Source organism: Homo sapiens, chromosome X (genome assembly GCF_000001405.40).
Source record: "Homo sapiens chromosome X, GRCh38.p14 Primary Assembly".
Taxonomy (NCBI): Eukaryota; Metazoa; Chordata; class Mammalia; order Primates; family Hominidae; genus Homo; species Homo sapiens.
Window position 1 is genome coordinate 19,361,808 of NC_000023.11, and position 20,730 is coordinate 19,382,537.

Here is a 20,730-nt window from a genome sequence, read left to right on the forward strand (position 1 = left end):
GTTTGGAATTTGACATGTTAGGTCTACCACTTTAAATGCTTATCCCCACATCTTTCAAATGCCTTTCCTTAGGAATCACATCCCTAACTGCACTGGAAATCCTACAAGGAAATAGGTTTTAGTGTTGAGGTCAGAGCTTATCTAGTCCACATTCCAAGAGGTAGCTCTGGAGCTCGTTTCTAAGTGGCCCAAAACGAATGTCAGGTTGATGGAGGCATATTTATTTACTTATGCAGTAAACTACCCTTTTTAGGTGTCCAATGTGCTATGAAGGTGGCAGCACAGATACAGAAATGACTGTCACTCCCAAAAGTCCTCATGTGCCCTTTACAATCAGTCCCGTCACCTCCCCATTCTGATTCTGTCCCTGTAGTTTTGCCTTTTCTGGAGGAAAAGGAATCATGGTATGTGGCCTTTTGAATCTTTTTTTTTTTTTTTTTTTTTGAGACAGGGTTTCACTGTCACTCAGGCCAGAGTGCAGTGGCATGACCTCGGCTCACTGCAGCCTCAACCTCCTGGGCTCAGGTGATCCTCCCATGTCAGCCTCCTAAGTAGCTAGGACTACAGGCATGCATCCACCAAGCCCAGCTGGTTTTTTTCTATTTTTTGTACGGATGGGGTTTTGCCATGTTGACCAGGCTGGTCCTGAACTCCTGGGTTCAATTGATCTGCTAGCCTCAGCCTCCCAGAGTGCTGGGATTACAGGCACGAGCTACGGTGCTGGCTGTGAATCTAGCTCTTTCACTTAGCATACTGCATTTACAATGCAGCCATGTTGTTGAATCTATCAGTAGTCCCTTTTTATGATTGAGAAGTAGTCTAGAATCTACTGGAGTCCTGGATTAACAGAAGATAACCTCAAATGTTTCTTCAAAGCTAACTAGAATATTAGCTAGATGTTAAAGTCTGTCTCATTGGAAAATGACTTACAATTCGATTTTAATTTTAACTGAAGGTGATACAATTCTTGAGTTTTCTGTTCTAGAGTTTGCCGCAGAAGATTCTGGTACTCTCTCTCTTTTTCAACTAGGTGTTCCAAAAGTCTGGTTTAAAAAAAAAAAAAAAAAGCCATTATCCAGAGAGCATTCAACACCATTCAATTTAACTCAAGCATCTGTTGTGCATACATTAGAGATGGAAAAAAAATGGAAAATGGGACAAGTCTAAGAGTCAGCCTAGAGAGGGAAGCACATGTGTTTCTTCAGGTTCTGTGACTCAGACTTCAGTCTGCAGAGGGGAACCTTCCTTGTGTTTTCCTCCCCTTGACAACAAAGGCCAGTGCTCACAGCTTGGATATATTTTTGCAATGGACTCAATGTGTGCCCCTCACCCGGCCCAAGTTCATATGTTGAAATCCTAACCCACAAGGTGATGGTGTTAGGAGACGGAGCTTTGAGAGGTGAGGTGAGAGGAGTGTCCTTGTGAAAGGAGACCCCAGAGGCTCCCTCATCCCTTCCACCATGTGAGGACACACCGCGAGAAGATGGCCATCTGTGAATGGGGAAGCAGGCCCTCACTGGCCACGGAATCTGCTGGCACCTCGATCTTGGACTTCGAGTCTCCAGAACTGTGAGAAACACATTTCTGTTGTTTATAAGCTGCCTGGTCTCTGGTTATTTTGTTACAGTAGCCTGAACGCACTCAGGCAGTTTTGTCTCAAAAACGTATCGTGAACCAAAAGATGCCGATGTTAATCAGAACTCAGCCAGAAGGACGATGTGATTATTTAAACCTGGCTCCCTAAGTCAGATAAGGCAGCTGAAACTAGAATAGAATGGTAAGTTTCTTTCCTCCTCACACAGGGACTAAACGAAGGGGACAGAAGCCCCTGCTTCTTATTTTGTTTTTGTTTTTTTTTTTTTGGAGACAGAGTCTCACTCTGTGGCCCAGGCTGGAGTGCAGTGGCACAATCTCGGCTCACTGCAACCTCCGCCTCCTGGGTTCAGGCAATTCTCCTGCCTCAGCCTCCCGAGTATCTGGGACTACAGGCATGCGCCACCATGCATGGGTAATTTTTGTATTTTTAGTAGAGACAGGGTTACACCATATTGGCCAGGCTGGTCTCGAACTCCTGACCTCAAGTGATCCACCTGCCTCGGCCTCCCAAAGTGCTGGGATTACAGGTGTGAGCCACCGCACCCAGCTGGAAGCCCCTGCTTGTAATGGGGCAGAGCAGGGACAGTGAGTGAGACATGCTGCTCTGCCGGTGGGGAGGATGGCTCCTGCCAACATCCACCAAGCACTTCCTACCCAGAATCCAGGACTGTGCCAAACACTGCATGAATTCAGTCACTGAAGCCCTGCGGCACTTCTAGGAAGCACTGGTTGTTCTAAACCCCTGTTTTGAAGCTGAGGTAACTGAGGCAGAGGAGTTAAGTAACGCCCAGAGTCCACAGGCTGGGCTCTTCCCAAGGGACCGCCTCCTGAAACCCAGTCTTGCTCATGGGCTCTCTGGGATCAGATATGACTTGGCACAACTGTGCCTCAAACTTCCCCCACATGCCAGCTCAGGCATAGCATGCCTTGGGGGAAAGGGCTGACAGATTGGAACCACGTCTAGCTTTTGTTGGGGCTCAGAAAACAGTGCCCCCAAATGGCCTCAGCAGCAGCCTCAGAAGAAAAAGTTTTCCTCTGACCTTCTCCTGCCTCCCTCTCTCAGTCCATTCTCCTGGAGGCACCATAGAATCCCTCTTCCCCAAAGCGGGGCACAGAAACCAGAACTCCTCCCCAAAGCCAGCCACAAAACCTAAAAATACGACTCTAACTTTCCCTCCGCCTTTCTGTGTAAAAATTGGTTATAAAGAAATTCTTGGCCGGGTGCGGCAGCTCAAGCCTGTAATCCCAGCACTTTGGGAGGCTGAGGTAGGCAGATCACCTGAGGTCAGAAGTTTGAGACCAGCCTAACATGGAGAAGCCTCTCTACTAAAAATACAAAATTAGCCAGGCGTGGTGGCACATGCCTGTAATCCGAGTTACTTGGGAGGCTGAGGCAGGAGAATCGCTTTAACCTGGGAGGCAGAGGTTGCGGTGAGCCAAGATGGCACCATTGTACTCCAGCCTGGGCAACAAGAGCGAAACTCTGTCTCAAAAAAAAAAAAAAAAAAAAATTCTTTGGGCTGGGCGCAGTGGCTCAAGCCTATAATCCCAGCACTTTGGGAGGTCAAGGCGGGAGGATCACCTGAGGTCAGGAGTTCAAGACCAGCCTGGCCAATATGGTGAAACCCCGTCTCTACTAAAAATACAAAAATCAGCCAGTTGTGGTGGCGTGCGCCTGTAATCCCAGCTACTCGGGAGGGGAGACTGAGGCAGAAGAATAGTTCGAACCCAGGAGGCAGAGGTTGCAGTGAGCAGAGATTGCACCACTGCACTCTAGCCTGGGCAACAGAGTCAAACTCCATCTCAAAAAAAAAAAAAAAAAGTTCTTCGACCTACTTTGTTTGACTGTAGTTCATAAGACCCCCGATTCCAGAGGGTCCTGCCCCACACCCAGGAGAAAGGAATGCTACTCAGAGAGGCCAAGAAGGATCTAGACAGACAGGCCTTGCTGGGTTTCCCCACTCAGTCTATCAGCATTCGATCAGGCCCTTTTTATCCCTGTTTCTCCACAGCTCTCCATACTTTGTTAAGCCTAAGCATAAAAATGGACAATTTCCCCTGGATCTTTGGGTCTTCATGCTGAAGTTAAATACATGTTAAATACATTTGCATGCCTTTTCTCTCATTAATCAGCCTCATGCAGGTGATTTTCAGCAAACCTCCAGGGGCCAAGGGCCTTGGCCCCCACACTTTTATTGTTTGCTTACATACCTAGTACATGGGATTTGTTTCTTAACTGTGTGTTCCTTTAATTCATTTATATGATCCATGCTGGTGAACTTGGGAATACAGAACTAAGCTTTATTGAAATTACTGAAGGCTGCTGGGGGTGGTGGCTCACACCTGTCATCCCAGAACTTTGGGAGGCCAAGGCAGGTGGATCACCTGAGGTCAGGAGTTTGAGACCGGCCTGGCCAATATGGTGAAACCCCATCTCTACTAAAAATACAAAAATTAGCTGGGTGTGGTGGTGTGCACCTGTGGTCCCAGGTACTCGGGAGGCTGAGGCAGGAGAATCGCTTGAACCCGGGAGGTGAAGGTTGCAGTGAGCCAAGAATGTGCCACTGCACTCCAGCCTGGATGATAGAGCGAGCCTCCATCTCAAAAAAAAAAAAAAAAAAAAAAAAAGACTGAAGGTAATTATTGAAGTTGCCATGAGAAGTCACTGCAACAGTAGAGAGATGAGAACACAGGAACTCCTGGATTATTTGGTGGCAAAGTGGGGTGGGGAGAGGAGAACACTTCTGCCCCAGCACAACAGCAGAGGAAATATTGGCACTCAGCAAATTAGAAGTCCTCTCCCAGCCCTGCCCAACTGCCTGCCTTCATCCTGGTCTCTCTAGTAGTCCTCCTTTTACGTTAGTGAAGGAGACAACTCAAGCTTGTGCCTGTATCCAGTGGGAAGGACTCTCAGGACTTCATCAGGACAGACACATCATCCTGTCTAAGAGGTGTCATCTTCCTTTGGCTCTGCCCAACTGCCACATAGCCAAGGCACTTCATACTACAGTGATATGGTTTGGCTGTGTCCCCACCCAAATCTCATCTTGAACTGTAGCTCCCATAATTCCCTTGTGTTGTGGGAGGGACCCAGTGGGAGATAATTGAATCATGGGGGTGGTTTCCCCCATACTGTTCTCATGGTACTGAATAAGTCTCATGAGATCTGATGGCTTTATAAGGGAAAACCCCTTCCGCCTGGTTCTTTCATTCTTTCTTGTCTGCTGCCATGTAAGACGTGCCTTTTACCTTCTGCCATGATTGTGAGGCCTCCCCAGCCTCGTGGAACTGTAAGTCCATTAAACCTCTTACTCTTATAAATTGCCCAGTTTCTGGTATGTATCAGCAGCGTGAAAATGGACTAATACACACAAGGACAAGCACCTTATGCAGGAATGTACAGTTTACGTCAATGCCATTCACAGACTGGCTGCTGCCTAACCAATTCCTCATTCCACTGAGACTGGAAAATAACACAATGACTATCGACAGTGGAGAGAAATAACCTTCAAACCCATATATAATCATTTTATGAATTTGGTGATTATAAATCTTATTGGGTGACCCAGCAACCTCATTACTGGGTATATGCCCAGAGGAATATAAATGGTTCTATTATAAAGATACATGCACATATATGTTCATTGCAGCACTATTCACAATAGCAAAGACATGGAATCATCCTAAATGTCCATTGATGATAGACTAAAGAAAATGTGGTACATATACACCATGGAATATTATGCAGCCATAAAAAAAGAACGAGATCATGTCCTTTGCAGGGACATGAATGGAGCCGGAGGCCATTATCCTTAGCAAACAAATGCAGGAACAAAAAACCAAATACCACGTGCCGTGGGAGCTAAATGATGAGAACATATGGACACATAGAGGGGAACAACACACACTGGGGCCTACCAGAGGGTGGAGGCTGGGAGGAGGATCAGGAAAAGCAACTAATGGATACTAGGCTTAATGCCTGGGTGATGAAACAATCTGTACAATAAACCCCCATGACACAAGTTTACCTGTGTAAAAAACCTGCACTTGTACTCTTGAACTTAAAAAAAAAAAAAAACTTTCAAAATGTTGCCACCACTACCATTTAACTAAAGCTCTGGGTCTTTTAAAAAAAGAAATGATTAGATGATCTAAGATTGAACTTGAGAGATCCCTGACAGCATACACAACCTTTCATCCAAAATACGTAACTGGCCCCTTGTCTCCCGGTTAAATAGTCATTAGCATTCCTCAGCAATGATCCCACAGCAACAAAGTGTCATTTGGAATGAGTACCAACTCATTTGCTATAACTATGGATTTTTTTTTTTTTTTTTTTTTTTTTTTTTTTTTTTTTTTTTTTGAGACAGAGTCTCATGCTGTCGCCCAGGCTGGAGTGCAGTGGCACGATCTCGGCTCACTGCAACCTCCGCCTCCCGGGTTCAAGCAATTCTTCTGCCTCAGCCTCCTGAGTAGCTGGGATTACAGGCAAGTTCCACCACGCCCAGCTAATTTTTGTATTTTTAGTAGAGACGGGGTTTCACCATATTGGCCAGGCTGGTCTCGAACCCCTAACCTTATGATCCACCCATCTTGGCCTCCCAAAGTGCTGGGATTACAGGTGTGAGCCACTGTGCCCGGTCAACTATGGATTACTTTTAAAAACCAAATCACGCAGCTGATAATGTGACTTCCCAGAGCAAACAGGAATAATTTTATTCATTTCACAAATATTTCTTCCCCTTTTTTTCTTTTTTTCAGATGGAGTTTCTCTCATTGCCCAGGCTAGAGTGCAATGGCACGATCTCAGCTCACTGCAACCCCCACCTCCCGGATTCAATCGATTCTCCTGCCTCAGCTTCCCAAGCAGCTAAGATTACAGGCGTGCGCCACCATACCTGGCTAATTTTGTAGTTTTAGAAGAGATGGGGTTTCACCATGTTGGCCAGGCTGTCTCAAACTCTTGACCTTAAGTGATCCACTCACCTCGGCCTCTCAAAGTGTTGGGATTACAGGCGTGAGCCACCACGCCCATCCACTTCACAAATATTAAGCACCTACTATGTGCCAGGAAGTGAACAAAACAGACCAGTGCATTGGAGGAATATGATGGTGATGCCAGGGTTCCCTGGTTGGGAAGCTAGTCCACTAATGCCCGTCTAGGGATCATGACAAATCACATGGAAGAAATGACAACAGGACAAACTTCCTCGGGGTCGGGATTATGGGATGTACATCCACTGATGAAGTGCTAACCAACCCCCAAACCCTGCTACTTCTGCAGGGGCAGGCTGCTGAGCCTGCGAGACCCACACACCATGCCAGGGGCCCCGTCTTGGTGAAAAGAGAGAAAGAATTCACAGATGCTGCTGCCTTTAGTATGAGTAATTTCTGTGTGGTCTGGGGCAAGGTACTATATATACCTCTCTGATTCTGAGTTTTTTTTTTTTTTTTTTTAAAGGAAGGCATTCCTCTAGTCCCTCAATTGAGGCTGAGAATATGCGCCCTTGCCTAGTTCGTGGATGATGAAGCTGCTTTTTCCTAAGACCTGGGTGAGATGGTCAACAATAAAGCCAATTAATCAGCATCTTGGTGGCTCAGGCCACTGTCCCAGCGCCTGCTCCCAGAGGAGGGCCCAGAAGCTCCTCACCTGTTGGTCTCCTGTCTGAGCTCACCCAGCTGGAGGCTCAGGTGCTGCTGGTGGGGCTGGGCCTCCTGGCCAGGTCCGGTGGCTGGGGGATAGCCCTCTTCCGCTTCATCCATGTCCTTATCTACCCCTTCAGTCTCACAGGTAGGCTCAAAGTGGGCTCGGAGCTCTGCAAATCACACAAGACATGACAATGGTGAGCAAACCAGGCCAGTGGGGCCTGGGGTCGCAGACACCCAGGTCAGCAAACCGGGCTGTTCAGAAGCTGGCCCAGCCCGTGCCATGCTCCATTAGGGGACTGCTGACTTTACAAATGGAGAAGAGACTGTTCCATTTGGTTCTCTGCAGCGTAAAGTTGATCACGCCAGTTTCCACAGGAAGAAATTGAGGCTTAAGGATATGAAGTGAACCAAGGCCAGCGTTCAAAAGGTACAACCAGGCCAGGAGCAATGGCTTACACCTGTAATCCAAGCACTTTGGGAGGCTGAGGCAGGCAGATCACTTGAGGTCAGGAGTTTGAAACCAGCCCGGCCAACATGGTGAAACCCCATCTCTACTAAAAAATATATACAAAAATTAGCCAGGTCCAGGCGCAGTGGCTCACGCCTGTAATCCCATCACTTTGGGAGGCTGAGGCGGGCAGATCACAAGGTCAAGAGATCAAGACCATCCTGGCCAACATGGTGAAACCCCGTCTCTACTAAAAAAAATTAGCTGGGTGTGGTGGCGCGCACCTGTAGCCCCAGCTACTCCGGAGGCTGAGGCAGGAGAATTGCTTGAACCTGGGAGATGGAGGTTGCAGTGAGGCGAGATCGCATCATTGCACTCCAGCCTGGGTGACAGAGCAAGACTCTGTCTCAGAAAAAAAAAAAAAGAAAAGAAAGAAATAAGTAGAGCCAGGCTGCCACCCAAGCCTGTGCCGTTTTACTACAGAAGGTGTCTGCTTGGAGTGGGAGAGGAATTAAGCACTGGGGTTTCCCAAGCCTCTCCTGCAGCTGAGCCTGGGCTACACAGTGCATTCGGGAGGGTGGGCTGGAGCCAAACAGCAAGGAGCTGAAGGAAAGGGGGAAACCATGATGGCGACAGAATGGGCTGTAAAGCCTCCCTTAGCAGGAAGAAGTCACCAGAGAAGGAGAATCAACTTTGGTAACATTTCAAAAAGGAAATTGACAAAAACCAAAAACTTCTGTAACTACTACATGATGATTCAGAGAGAGGAATCTGAGCCACTGTATTGTCAGTTACCCAAGAAACATTCCTGAGTGCACGATGAAGGGGATACCAGAGGACTGGAGGATCCTTCCCCTCTGGCCCCATGCTCCCTTTTAATTTAATATTATTTATGTATTTGTTTATTTTTATTGAGACGGAATCTCACTCTGTTGCCCAGGCTGGAGTGCAGTGGCGTGATCTCGGCTCACTGCAACCTCCACCACCCGGGTTCAAGCGATTTTCCTGCCTCAGCCTCCCGAGTAGCTGGGATTACAGGCACGTGCCACCAAGCCTGGCTAATTTTTTGTATTTTTAGTAGAGACGGGGTTTCACTATGTTGGCCAGCCTGGTCTTGAACTCCTGACCTCAGCTGATCTGCCCACCTCGTCCTCCCAAAGTGCTGGGATTACAGGCATGAGCCACCGCGTCCGGCCCCATGCTCCCTTTTGAGATTGTGAGTTATAGTTTATGTGTAGTCACCTTCATCATGCTTCAGGGACACGTAAATACAGCACCACGAGATGCTCTCAGAACTACAGAATCAGCCCCGGAAGAAGTCTATGACAACATGCATTTAATTCCAAGGAAGTAGATAACCAAGATGGAAAAGAGAAAAGCAACAACTGTTGAATGAAGAGGATATTTCTTATCTTTTCACGGCCTAAAGCTGACCTTGACCACAAAGGGGGCGCTCACCTGGGATGAGAATGGTGACCGCGGCCTGCACCGCTCGGCGGATGATGTTGTCCATCGCGAACATCCAGTGGGGCCTAATTAAGTGGTTCCTCAAAATTTTATTTACCTAAAAAAAAAAAAAATAATAAAATAAACTAAAATCACAAAAATCCAGATTTCCAGTGCATTGCACGGAGAATCACGGCAACCTACACTCATCCTCTTGGGGGCCGCATGCAATCAGCCAGTTCACCCAGATGCCATTTCCTGGACTTCATTGTTTAGGAGGAGCTGCTGAAGCTTGGGATTCAGGTGTATACAGTTAAGAAGAGATGGGGGCTATGGGAGGAGGTGGTAACTGAATTCCAAGATCTGGTGTGTTCCCTAGGGCCAGATGGAGCACTTACGGCATCCTGAAATCCGAACAGCACCAGGTGAATCTGACTGATGGACGAGCTGTCAAAGTCCAGGTCCACCTTGAGCTTTGATATTGTGGTCGCCATCACCCGGTGCTCTGGGGAGCGGATGAAGTCCCTCAGGATCCCAATGATTTGCTTGATGTGTCCAACTGAGAGATGCAACTCTTCGGAACTCTGAAAACACACACAAATCATTTTCATTGAGTCAGATTGAGAGAGCGAGAGTTCAGAACACACTGGGGGAAACAAGATGGTCCATTTGCTAAGAAACTTGTGGAACTCCCAGGTGAGAAGGGGTCTCTGTTTGTTCCCTCCATAACCTTCCTGTCAGGGTCCTGGCCCCTTCTCCCTGGTGGGTGTACAGCTAAGCCCCTCTGTGAATGGCTTCCTGTTTAACCCCTTGTAAGAGCCCCCATCAAGGCCATAGACATAGTTCAGAGCGGAGCAGCGGCCTCTTCCTAAAAGGCCCTTTTCCATCTGAAATAAGGGAGGGGGGCCGGGCACGGTGGCTCACACCTGTAATCCCAGCACTTTGGGAAGCCTAGGCAGGCAGATCACCTGAGGTCAGGAGTTCAAGACCAGCCTGGCCAACAAGGCGAAACCCCATCTCTACTAAAAATACAGAAATTAGCTGGGTGTGGTGGCAGGCGCTGTGTAATCCCAGCTACTGGAAAGGCTGAGGCGGGAGAATCACTTGAACCTAGGAGGCGGAGGTTGCAGTGAGCCAAGATCACACCGCTGCACTCCAGCCTGGGCGACAGAGTGAGACTGTCTAAAAAAAAAAAAAAAAAAGATTAAAAAACAATAATAAATAAACTGAAATAATGGAGGGGAATCGGTTTGCCAGTCCTGTGCCCTAGTTCAAAATCAGTTATTTTCACCCATAACCACCCTCCCCAAGGTGGCTGTTCTCCCAGCTTCTGAGGGCAGCTCTAGCGTGTCCTACAGCTGGGGATTAACTCCAGGACTCAAAACCGGATCATGAGAGGCCAGAGAAGGTGCTTCGGGCTTTCTGCTACAATCTGGCTGGTTTTCACCAGGGGGCAGCACCGCCCCACCAGTGCCTGGAATCACTGCGGTATCTGCAAATTCATGTTTCGGCAGAGCTTTTTTTCTTTGTATTTTCTTTTGTTTTGTTGGGGAAGGGAAGGACGTTAGGGAAACATTTACAGTGATCACCGTAACTATGCAGATGTTCCAGGGCGGCAGGAACTGAGGTCCTGATTGGACCTGTCTGGGGACTGGGACCTGGGCAGAGGGAGCGGGAAGAGTCGGTGCCCTCCCTCGGGCAAATACCTGGGCCACACACTCCTGCAGGTTGGAAGCCACCTGGTTCTGCTCCTCCCAGAGGATTTTGTACAGGATGGCACGGCGCTCACTGTCCTTGCGTAGCAGGAAGAGGCCCTGGTCCCTGTCCTCCGGGGACGAGGCCAAGCCCCGGTCTTCCAAGGCTGAGCTCTCGTCTGGAACACTGTGGACAAACACGTGTGACAATCTCTGTGCGTGCCGGGGCACTGTCCCTGGGAGTGTGTCATGTTAGGACGCCCTGGAGAAGGGCTGAGAGGTAACTGCGATGCAGTCCCTGTGCTCAAGAAGATGAAATTGCCGGAGGAAGGACAGACATGCAGTGTTCTGTCAACCCCCACAGCAGGAGGGAGAGCAGAAGGAGGGGGAGGCGGGGTAAAGGAGCCTCCCAGGAGACAGGGAGGAGGGAGGGAGGGAGGGAAGGGGGCAAGCACAGAAGGAGAGGTGAGGGAGGGAAGGTGAGGGGGACAGGGGAAGGAGGAAGAGAGAGGAAGGAAAAGGAGGAAGGGAGGAGGAGGGGCCAGGAGGAGGAGGGGGCCGGAAGATGCAGGGACAGAGGGGGCAAGGGTGAGGGGGAGAGAGAGGGGGAAGAGGAGAGAGGGGAAGTGTCGAAGGAGAGGGGAGAGAGAAGGGAAGAGGAGAGGTGGGGGAGGGCACATGTGGGGAATGAAAGGACAGGGAGGGAGGGGAAGGGACAGCAAGTGAACGAAGCACCCTCCTTGCCGGGATGGGGCGGCTCAGCTGCCCTACTGCCCTGCAGAAGGGAAGTAAAACCCCTCAGTGGCCATCTGGTTGGGACCAGGGAGGTGCCCTGTGGCGGAGGACTACCAGCACCCTTTCGGGCCCGCGGCAGACAGACAGAATACGGGTGTACCTGAGGAGGTGGCCAAGGTGGTGCCTGGGCGCCCGGGTCCTCTCAAAGAGTGCGTCAGGCTGGGCGTCGGAGTCTGGGGAGACAGAGCCGTGCTCGCTGCTGCTGGTGGCCATGGGCTCTCCCTGTGTGGGCAGGGCCAGGACGACACCGCGGGGACCTTCTGTAGGGGGACAGCCAGACACCGAATGGGGAGACTCAGAGAGGGACGGGGTGGAGCTGAGTCCCTGGCAGCCCCTCAAGCCCAGGTGAACCGCCCAGGCACCCAGGATCCTGTAGAAATGTGGGTTGGGCGGGGGACGGGCCACAGGTGCTGTATTTCTACTCAGATGCATGCAGTTGGGGGTCCCTCATGGAGCAAGTTGCTGAGCCACTCACTCTGGCAGCTTCTGACCCCGATCGGTACCAGGGAAAAGAGGACAAACTGCTTCCTTTTCAGGGGCCACTCTTACATCATTGCCAGTTAGGACTTACTGCCCCAGAAGGTGTCACTGGACTTCGGTGGCCTGCAGGACAGCCACATCAGGCAAACCTCCCTGACAAATCCTTTAATCAAGGTCAGGGTTGGCACACGATGACAAGCCAGGCTCCAAAACTGAAGCCCCAGGCTCTGGCACATGGTGAAGACGCAGAACCCCAGCTGGGGTACCTCTTGCCTCCCCACTCTCTTCCCAATCCCGAAGGAACAACTTCCAGCAGACGGCAGCCCAGTCACCCAGAGACTCCCTGGGCCTCTGTCAGGAGATCGAGGTGCATGTATTAGTTGGATTTTGACAACCTCCAAACCTACTGCACAGGCCCCGTCACTCTTCACAAAAATGGGAATGACGTGAGCAGCCCAGGGCTCTGGATAGCCAGAACTCTCCCTCCTGAGCAGCAGAGAAGCCCAGCGCCCAGCATTCTTGTGGCCAGGGTGCTGCCCCAGCTGTCCAGGGAGGCCTCACCTGAGGGCTTGAAGGCAATTCGGTTCTTCTTGCCCTTGTTCACCTGCCTTAAGAAACCCTCTCTCAGTAGCTCAGCAGTGGTGGCACGTTTGTGGGGGTCAGGCTCGAAACAGGATAAAATGAAGGCTCGGGCTTCAGCTGAAAGGGCTTCTGGAATCTCAGGGTGGATCTTAAACATGCCCACCTGCATTTAAGGGAGAGGTAACCGATGTGTCAGTGAGGCCTTGGGTGAATTCAGGTATCCATGTCTCAGTCCAAAGCTCCTGTACACCTGACATCCCAGGACAGGCATAATCCATGCCCCCTTGCAACGTCACGTTCTTGTTCCTCCCACCCCAAGGTGGAGTCCATTTCCCCCTCACTGGCATCTTGTGACTTGACTTTGACCAACAGATAGTGACAGAAGTGACATGGTGAGAGTTTCAGGGCCCGGGCCTTAAGAGGTCTTGTGGCTCCGCTAGTCACCCTTAAAGCCCCGAGACCACCATGCAGAGAGGAAGCCCAGGAGGTACGACCCCGTGGAGAGGACGCCCCAGCCATCCCAGCTGGAACTGCCATGAGGGAGGGGCCTCTCAGGCCACCCTGCTCCCCCAAACCACCACTTGGCTGCAACCATGTGAGTGAGCCCAGGCAAAACCCACAGAAGAGCCAACAGTCAGCTCAAAGAGGCATGAGAAAAAGTCATCGTTTTAAGCTTCTGAAATTTTGGGGTGGTTTGGTACATAGCAGTAGAGAACTGAGATGGGACTTGGGCCACAGCCTAGGGCGGCATGTCCTCTAAGGATACTCAAAGGCATCTGTTACCTGTTCCCTGACGCACAGGGTCCCCAAGAGATGCCTTTAACACCTCTCAATCCCTCTGCATCCACAGCCCAGATTCCCAGCCTCCAGCTCAAAACCACAAGCAGACAAAACCTTGAGGCTGCCAATGTATAGACAGGTAACTAATGGCTCTCTGTCCCTGTGACCTGTAGGGAAGTAAGAGTTGGTTCTGAGCTGCCACATCTCGCTGTGACACGGACATGCTTCCGTGACATGTTATATAGCCCCCTCCTTCATAACTGTTCCCAGTAGGGTGGCCCTCTCATCTTTTTAGGAGTTGTCACCTTCAGTTTCACAGTCCACCCTGTGTCTTTTCCAAGCCCACCCAACAATCCAGGCGTGGAAGCTGTTCTGTCCTCCAGACCCATGCCCATTCCCAGCTCCTCAGAGCTCCTGGGGGCTGGCTCAGCCTCCACAATCCCCGCCGAGTGAGCTCAGGGTGCTGCAGAGTGTAGAGGGCCAGGCCTCCCCACTTCCTGTCCCCAAGGCCCTTGACCTGGCAGTCACGGCCATGTGCTGTTTCCAACACAGCGCTCCTCCTGGCCAGGCTGCCCAGCTCAGGAGTTACGGATTCGAAGAACACTAAATGCTGGGTGAAATCCCACCCACCGCCAGGTCTGCAATGCAGGGTGCCTCACAGGTGGCTCCTCTCACCTGAGCGGTAGGGAGGTTAAGCTGGCACTGTTCACAGGCACTAGGGGTACAAAGACCAACATTCAGGCAAGAACATGAAAAGGAAAGGGTGGCCTCTGCCCGGCTCTCTGAAAACAGCAAATGTGGGCAGCACAATGACACCCGGCTGGGATGTCCTCTTTAAGGGTGCTTTGCCGTGACCCAAAAGCTCCTTGTATTGGTCTCCTAGGGCCACTGTAACAAAATACCACAAACTGGGTGGCTGAAACAACAGGTGCTTATTGTCTCACAGTCCTGGAGGCTGGAAGTCCAAGATCCAAGCGTTGGTAGGGCCAGGGACTCCTGAAACATGCAGGGAATCCCCGCCTTTGCCTCTTCTAGCTTCTCGTGGTCTGCGGGCGGTCTCTGGCGCTCCTTGGCTCCTAGATGCACCCCCCTCTCTCCTCTGCCTCCCCGAGGCATTCCCCTGGGAATCGTACTTTGTCTTCTGAGCATGTGTGTCCAAATCTCCACCCCCACCCCCCAACTTTTTGAGACAGGGTCTCACTTGGTCACCCAGGCTGGAATACAGTAGCATGATCATAGCTCACTGCAGCCTCCAACTCCTGGGCCCAAGGGATCCTCCTGCTTCAGGTTCCTGAGTAGCTGGGACCACAGGTGTGCACCACCACATGGGCTAATTTTTTCATCTTTTGTAGACACGGGGTCTTGCTATGTTGCCCCGGGGGATCTTGAACTCCTGGCCTCAAGTGATCCTCCTGCGTCGGCCTCCCAAAGTGCTGGGATTATAGGGGTGAGCCAATGCACCTGGCTCAAATATCCCCCCTTTTTAAAAGACACCAGGCTGGTCCGAGTGCAGTGGTGTTTGCAGCTAGTTGATGACAACCAGTTAGAGATTTCTTTGTTCCTTCCCCACTCCCACTGTTTCACTTGACTAGTTAAAAAAAATAAAAAGAAAGATTTAAAAAAGAAAAAAAAAAAGTCCAAAACACCAGTCATACTGGATTAGGGCCCACATTCCAGAACCCATTTTCATTTGATTTTCTTTGTAAAGACCCTATTTCCAAAGAAGGTCACATTCTGAGGTACTGGGGGTTAGGACTTCCATATATCATTTTTGGGTGACACAGTTAAATCTGTAACAGTCCCTTCAGGGGAAAGAGAGTGTCCTTTGTTTCAGACACTGCCCAGAAGTTTCTTGAAAGTTTTCTAAAGGAATGAAGGATCCCAGAAATAACACAGGGGCCATTACTTATTTAATAATAACTTTCTCATTGGCAATGAAAAGTGACTTCATATGCCATCCAAAAAAGTCAGTACATTTTCAAACCCTTCATACAGGCGGGGCACGGTGGCTCTCGCCTGTTATCCCAGCACTTTGGGACGCGGAGGCAGGTGGATCACTGGAGTTTGAGACCAGTCTGGCCAACATGGTGAAACCCCATCTCTACTAAAAATACAAAATAGCCAGGCATGGTGGCCCATGCCTACAATCCCAGCTACTTGGGAGGCTGAGGCAGGAGAATCGCTTGAACCCGGGAGGCAGAGGCTGCAGTGAGCCAAGATTGTGCCACTGTACTCCAGTCTGGGCGACAGAGTGAGACTCTGTCAAAAAAAAAAAGAGAGACTTTGTACAGTGAATTCGCTAAACAAAAACAAGAGGAGGCGGGGAGCCAGGCATGCCCTGCGGAGGAATCGAGCCAGTCACAGCCTTCAGCTCTCTCCCTGGTTTCCCGGAAGTCAGCAGCAGGTCAAAAAGCAGCCAGCCATGGCTCTCAGGTGGGCCTCATGTTTTCCTCGTCACCAGCTGCTGTTTATTCCAACGCTGCCATGGAAGCTGCAGGTTAGATCTACAACGGCCCCAACAGGGTCCACCGCACACGGTCAAAGTGCTGAGGACGGTCATTGCTGTCTTCCAGCCCAGGAGCTGAGGGTCCTCTTGGGATTGCAGGTATCAGAAGACTCTTGTCGACTTGAGGTCTTGGCCTGGGCTCTGAACCCAAGCAGCTGATAGGAGGTGAGAAGCTCTGAGACCCTTCTGCAGGGGCCTCGCCGGGCTGGAGAGAGCAGCCAAGGCACCCAAGCAGGCAGCACTCGGGACCCATTGAACATGCTGCCCTCACCTCAACCGGCAGAAACCTGCACTCACACCTCCAAGTTCCTTCTGCCCAAGAGGGAAGCAGAGAGCCTGGCACAGACACAGGCCATGAAGGCACCGTGTTTGGCAGAGAAGCCAGGAAGACGCCTCTGGAATCGCGTTCTATCAGGGCCGTGTCCACACACTGCGGCCTCATCATCCATAAGCAATGGCCATTTGGCCTTTTGTGACCCTGCTGTCTCAAGGCAGTGCCCCATGGAAGGTCAGTGCTGGTAATGGCATCCTAGGGCTAGAGCTCTGCATTAGTCTGTTCTCATGCTGCTATGAAGAAATACCTGAGACTGGGTAATTTATAAAGAGGTTTAATTGATTCACAGTTCCACGCGGCTGGGGAGGCCTCAGGACATTTACATCCATGGCAGAAGGCACCTCTTCACAGGGCGGCAGGAGAGAGAATGAGAACCAGCAAAGGCGGAAGCCCCTTATAAAACCATCAGATCTCGTGAGAACTCACTATCAGAAGAACTGGATGGGGGAAATCACCCCCATGATTCAATTATCCCCACCGGGTCCCTCCCACAACACGTGGGGATTATGGGAACTACAATTCAAGATGAGATTTGGGTGGGGACATGGCCAAACCACATCAAGCCCCTTACATGTTTCTAAGCATACATGAGGCCAGAAGCTGCACACCCAACCTTGGGTACACCGGGGTGTCCTGGCATCAGCTTCCCGTGAGGTCACAAGGAAGGACATCCCTTTCCACAATCTTGGCTGCTCGGCGGTAAAACCCCCACCCGCAATGCTCAATCTGCACTATGTTGGCCCCAGTACATGGGCTGCCCTTCCTGTTAGCTCGGGGAGGGTTGTTGGAATGATAAGGGATATATTTACCTGATAGCCCAACTCCCACCTCTCCAGAAGCCAGTCAGAAACCTGTCCCCCAAAGGCACAGATCCCACATGGCCTTTGAGCCTTACCCACTGTAAGAGCAAACATGAAGGGAAACTAAGGGGCTGGATTCTCCCTGTTGAAAATAAAGGGAAAGGACCCTCCCCCACCCTGCCCAGCTTTCTTAGAGCCTTGACTTGAGAGAACTTATAACTTTAAGGTTCTTTCTCTGTCTCTGAGATATACGTGAATCTTTTAAACGGCTAAATAAGACTCTTGCCAGAAATGTCTTTTGCAAGGACCTGGAAGCCATCTCTCTGAAATGTAATCATCAAAGAAGATAGGGCCTCTATCTCCTAGTTTCCTTTTTCTTTTTTTTTTTTAAACCTGTCATCTTTTATTAATGTTTTCATAACTCTGCTCTCCCAGAAATAGGAAGGTAGGTTTCTAACTTTGATGGTGGCTTCACTCCAAAACTACCTACTGTCTTAAAGATATGAGAAGTTTAGTGTTTTTCCTTTTTTTTTTTTTTTTTTTTTTTTTTGAGGTAGTGTCTTGCTGTCACCCAGGCGGGACTGCAGTGGTGCAATCTCGGCTCACTGCAACCTCTGCCTCCTGGATTCAAGCGATTCTCCTGTTTCAGTCTCCCGAGTAGCTGGGATTACAGGCATGCGCCACCACGTCCAGCTGATTTTTGTATCAGAGACGAGGTTTTGCCATGTTGCCCAGGATGGTGTCTAACTCCTGACCTCAGGTGATCCACCCATCTCGGCCTCCCAAATTGCTGGGATTACAGGCGTGAGCCACCGCGCCCGGCCTATATTTTCCTTTGGATGAAGCCAAACAGTGAACACCAATGGTCCCCCCAATCACCAGGTGAATCTAAGATGAGCTCCTTGTGACAAATGGCACCACCAAGTTGTCTTACTTGAGGACTAGTTACGGTTTCTCTTGAGAACACAGATGTCACGGGTTGTGTCTGCTCGGCTCTATGAAACAGTGAGATTGCTTTCCATCTTTGCAGTCTCAGTGGATTGCCTGTGATGCACCTCGCATTCTGGTTTAATGCTTATCCAATAATAAAACTGTTTCCTTCTCTCCTACCTTTGTGGAGAGGTTTTCTGGATTGGGAGGAGACTTTGTTTTTAATTCTACTTCCCAACCACGCCCAACCTCAATCACGAAGCATGACTTACTTTGAACATGGCTGCCTGCGGCTCACCAAGCTCATGGAACGGAGGCTTGCTGGTGGCCATCTCAATGATGGTGCAGCCCAGGGACCAGATATCGGCTGGGGCACCATATCCGCGAGGCCCTTGGTCAATTATCTCAGGTGCCATGTACTGCAGGGTGCCTATTTGGAAAACAAACAAACAGGCTGTGGGTACCATATTGCTCAGAAACTAAGTGGCCTGTAGTCCCAGCTACTCGGGAGGCTGAGGCAGGAGGATCACCTGAGCCCAGGTGTTGGAGACCAGCCTGGACAATGTAACAAGACCTTGTCTCAAAAACAAAACAAAACAAAAAACCCACCACTAACTGTGAAATGAATGGCTTCACAAATGGCAGATGGAGTCTTGTCCCATGCATAAATAATATGGTTGCTTCTTTTTTTTTTTTGAGACAGAGTCTTGCTCTGTCGCCCAGGCTGGAGTGCAGTGGCGTGATCTCGGCTCACCGCGAACTCCGCCTCCCGGGTTCAAGCGATTCTCACGCCATAGCCACCCAAGTAGTTGGGATTAGAGGCACACACCACCATGCCCGGCTAATTTTTGTATTTTTAGTAGAGACGAGGTTTTACCATGTGGGCCAGGCTGGTCTCTCTGACCTCAGGTGATGTGCCTGCCTCAGCTTCCCAAAGTGCTGGGATTATAGGCGTGAGCCACTGCTCCTGGCCTGACTGCATATTTCTTTGAGCAGAGGCATGCAACATGCCTTCCTTTAATACTAACCACGTGGAGAGAGGACTGCCTGGCCCATCAAAGGACAAATGGCGCAATTCAGTCAGCACATATTAGTACATGCCAAATACAGGGAAGCCAGAACGTGAGAAACACAGCCTGATGGTAGGGAGGTGCCTAGTGGAGGAGACAAAGACAGAATGCTGGCAGCGGTGGCAGTAATGGCAAAATGTGGTAGGTGCTAGGACAGAGAAATACACAGAAGGCTGCAAGAGCATTAATAAAATAGGGTTTGACTCTCTGCCTGGTTCGGGTCAGGAAACACTATGGCTGTGTCCATTTGGGCCTCTGAGGAGTAAAATGCCAAGACGAGATGAGACATATGAGAGATTTATTGGGGAGAAGGTCTCTGAAGGACAAAGCGGGAGGGAGCAGGGTGGGCAGGGCCGGCTGCGGACCACATGGCAGGTGCAACACCTGGGAGCGGAGAGGAAGGCAGAATCAGGAAGAATCTGGGATGGGAGAGCAGCCCGGAGAGGGCTTCAGCCAGGCTGCTGGGGAGTCTGCAGCCCCAAGTCATCCACTGGAGGAGTCCCACCTGGGTTCTAGCACCCCTGCCAGGCTCAGGCCTTGGTGGGGAGCAGCCTGGGTAAAGTGTAACTTTGCTGGGTTGGTAGCCGGGGCTGTCAGGGAAGCAGGGTCCTGCTGCGAAGGCTGGAGGGCTGGACAAAGGGGATCATGGGTGTGAGATAGACAGCGGTCCGGGGAACAAGCGATGTCTGACACGGGGCAGGGTGTGGGAATAGTTAAGGAGGCAATGGCAAGGGCACAGGCCCAGTGGCAAGCAGGGTGGGCCCAGGGCTCTGGCTTTGGACGTGCTCTTGTGGGAGACAGCACACGGGGAGGTCAGTCAAGGGCTCTGCGAATAACATCCTTCGTTTTCCTTGAAACTCAGCCTGTGCAAAGGGGACGTGTGTGAAAGTGACAGCAGCTCCTGGGGGCTGGCAAAGAAATTTAGAAAAAGACAGCAAAGTCAGAGCTCTGACCTTGGCCACGCATGAATAGAACACTGAAACCCAGAGAAATTCAAAGGCCTATCTGAGGATTACACAACTAAAGGTTTAATCAATGAAAGCAGGGCCGGGCATGGTGGCTAACGCCTGTAATCCCAGCACTTTGGGAGGCCGAGGCAGGCGGATCACCTGAGGTCAGAAGTTCGAGACCAGCCTGGCCAACATGGCGAAACCCCGTCTCTACTAAAAATATAAAAATGCAAAAATTAGCCAGACATGGTGGTGGGTGCCTGTAATCCCAGCTACTCGGGAGGCTGAGGCAGGAGAATCCCTTGAACCTGGCTCGCAGTGAGCTGAGATCGCATTACTGCACTCCAGCCTTGGCGACAGAGCGAGACTCAGTCTCCAAAAAAAAAAAAAAAAAAAAAAAGGAAAGCAAAGGGCGCACTGGCTATAAAGAAAGTTTGGAGAAACTACCTCCTGTGTCCCCCTCTGGAAGATCCTATGTCTTATTAGCATTCTTTAAATACTCTAGGGGCAGCTGTGACGGATGGAATGTCCTGCGCTGATGGCAACGTTCTATCCTGTGTGGTTAAATATGGTAGTCACTAGCCTCATATATTTGACTGTTGGGCCCTTGAAATGTAGCTAGTGAGACTGAAGAAATGCATTTTTAAGTTTTAATTGTATTCAATTACAA

The 20,730-nt window shown here is 50.4% G+C and overlaps 1 protein-coding gene across 6 annotated transcripts in view, besides 1 other annotated feature; it reads right to left on the minus strand.

Moving 5' to 3' along the window:
- The window catches only part of MAP3K15 (mitogen-activated protein kinase kinase kinase 15), a 155,450-nt gene that overhangs the window by 1,749 nt on the left and 132,971 nt on the right, over positions 1 to 20,730 (minus strand). For 4 of the 6 annotated variants that reach the window (NM_001001671.4, XM_011545507.4, XM_011545510.3 and 1 more), the window contains 8 exons: positions 18,313 to 18,470; positions 12,670 to 12,853; positions 11,729 to 11,888; positions 10,846 to 11,020; positions 9,538 to 9,723; positions 9,152 to 9,257; positions 7,247 to 7,412; positions 931 to 1,043 (listed from right to left, as the gene is read on the minus strand). In NM_001001671.4, the coding sequence (NP_001001671.3) occupies positions 931 to 1,043; positions 7,247 to 7,412; positions 9,152 to 9,257; positions 9,538 to 9,723; positions 10,846 to 11,020; positions 11,729 to 11,888; positions 12,670 to 12,853; positions 18,313 to 18,470 (1,248 nt within the window). Of the gene's footprint in view, positions 1 to 930; positions 1,044 to 7,246; positions 7,413 to 9,151; positions 9,258 to 9,537; positions 9,724 to 10,845; positions 11,021 to 11,728; positions 11,889 to 12,669; positions 12,854 to 18,312; positions 18,471 to 20,730 lie in introns of those variants that run through there. The other 2 variants (XM_011545508.4, XM_047442100.1) reach the window with 2 other exon arrangements.
- Positions 11,364 to 12,304: an enhancer, noted in NCBI's record as "H3K4me1 hESC enhancer chrX:19391289-19392229 (GRCh37/hg19 assembly coordinates)". NCBI's record gives its function as "activates a minimal SCP1, AML or CMV promoter by ChIP-STARR-seq in naive H9 embryonic stem cells {active_cell/tissue: H9 hESC(naive)}" and the evidence as "EXISTENCE:reporter gene assay evidence [ECO:0000049][PMID:30033119]".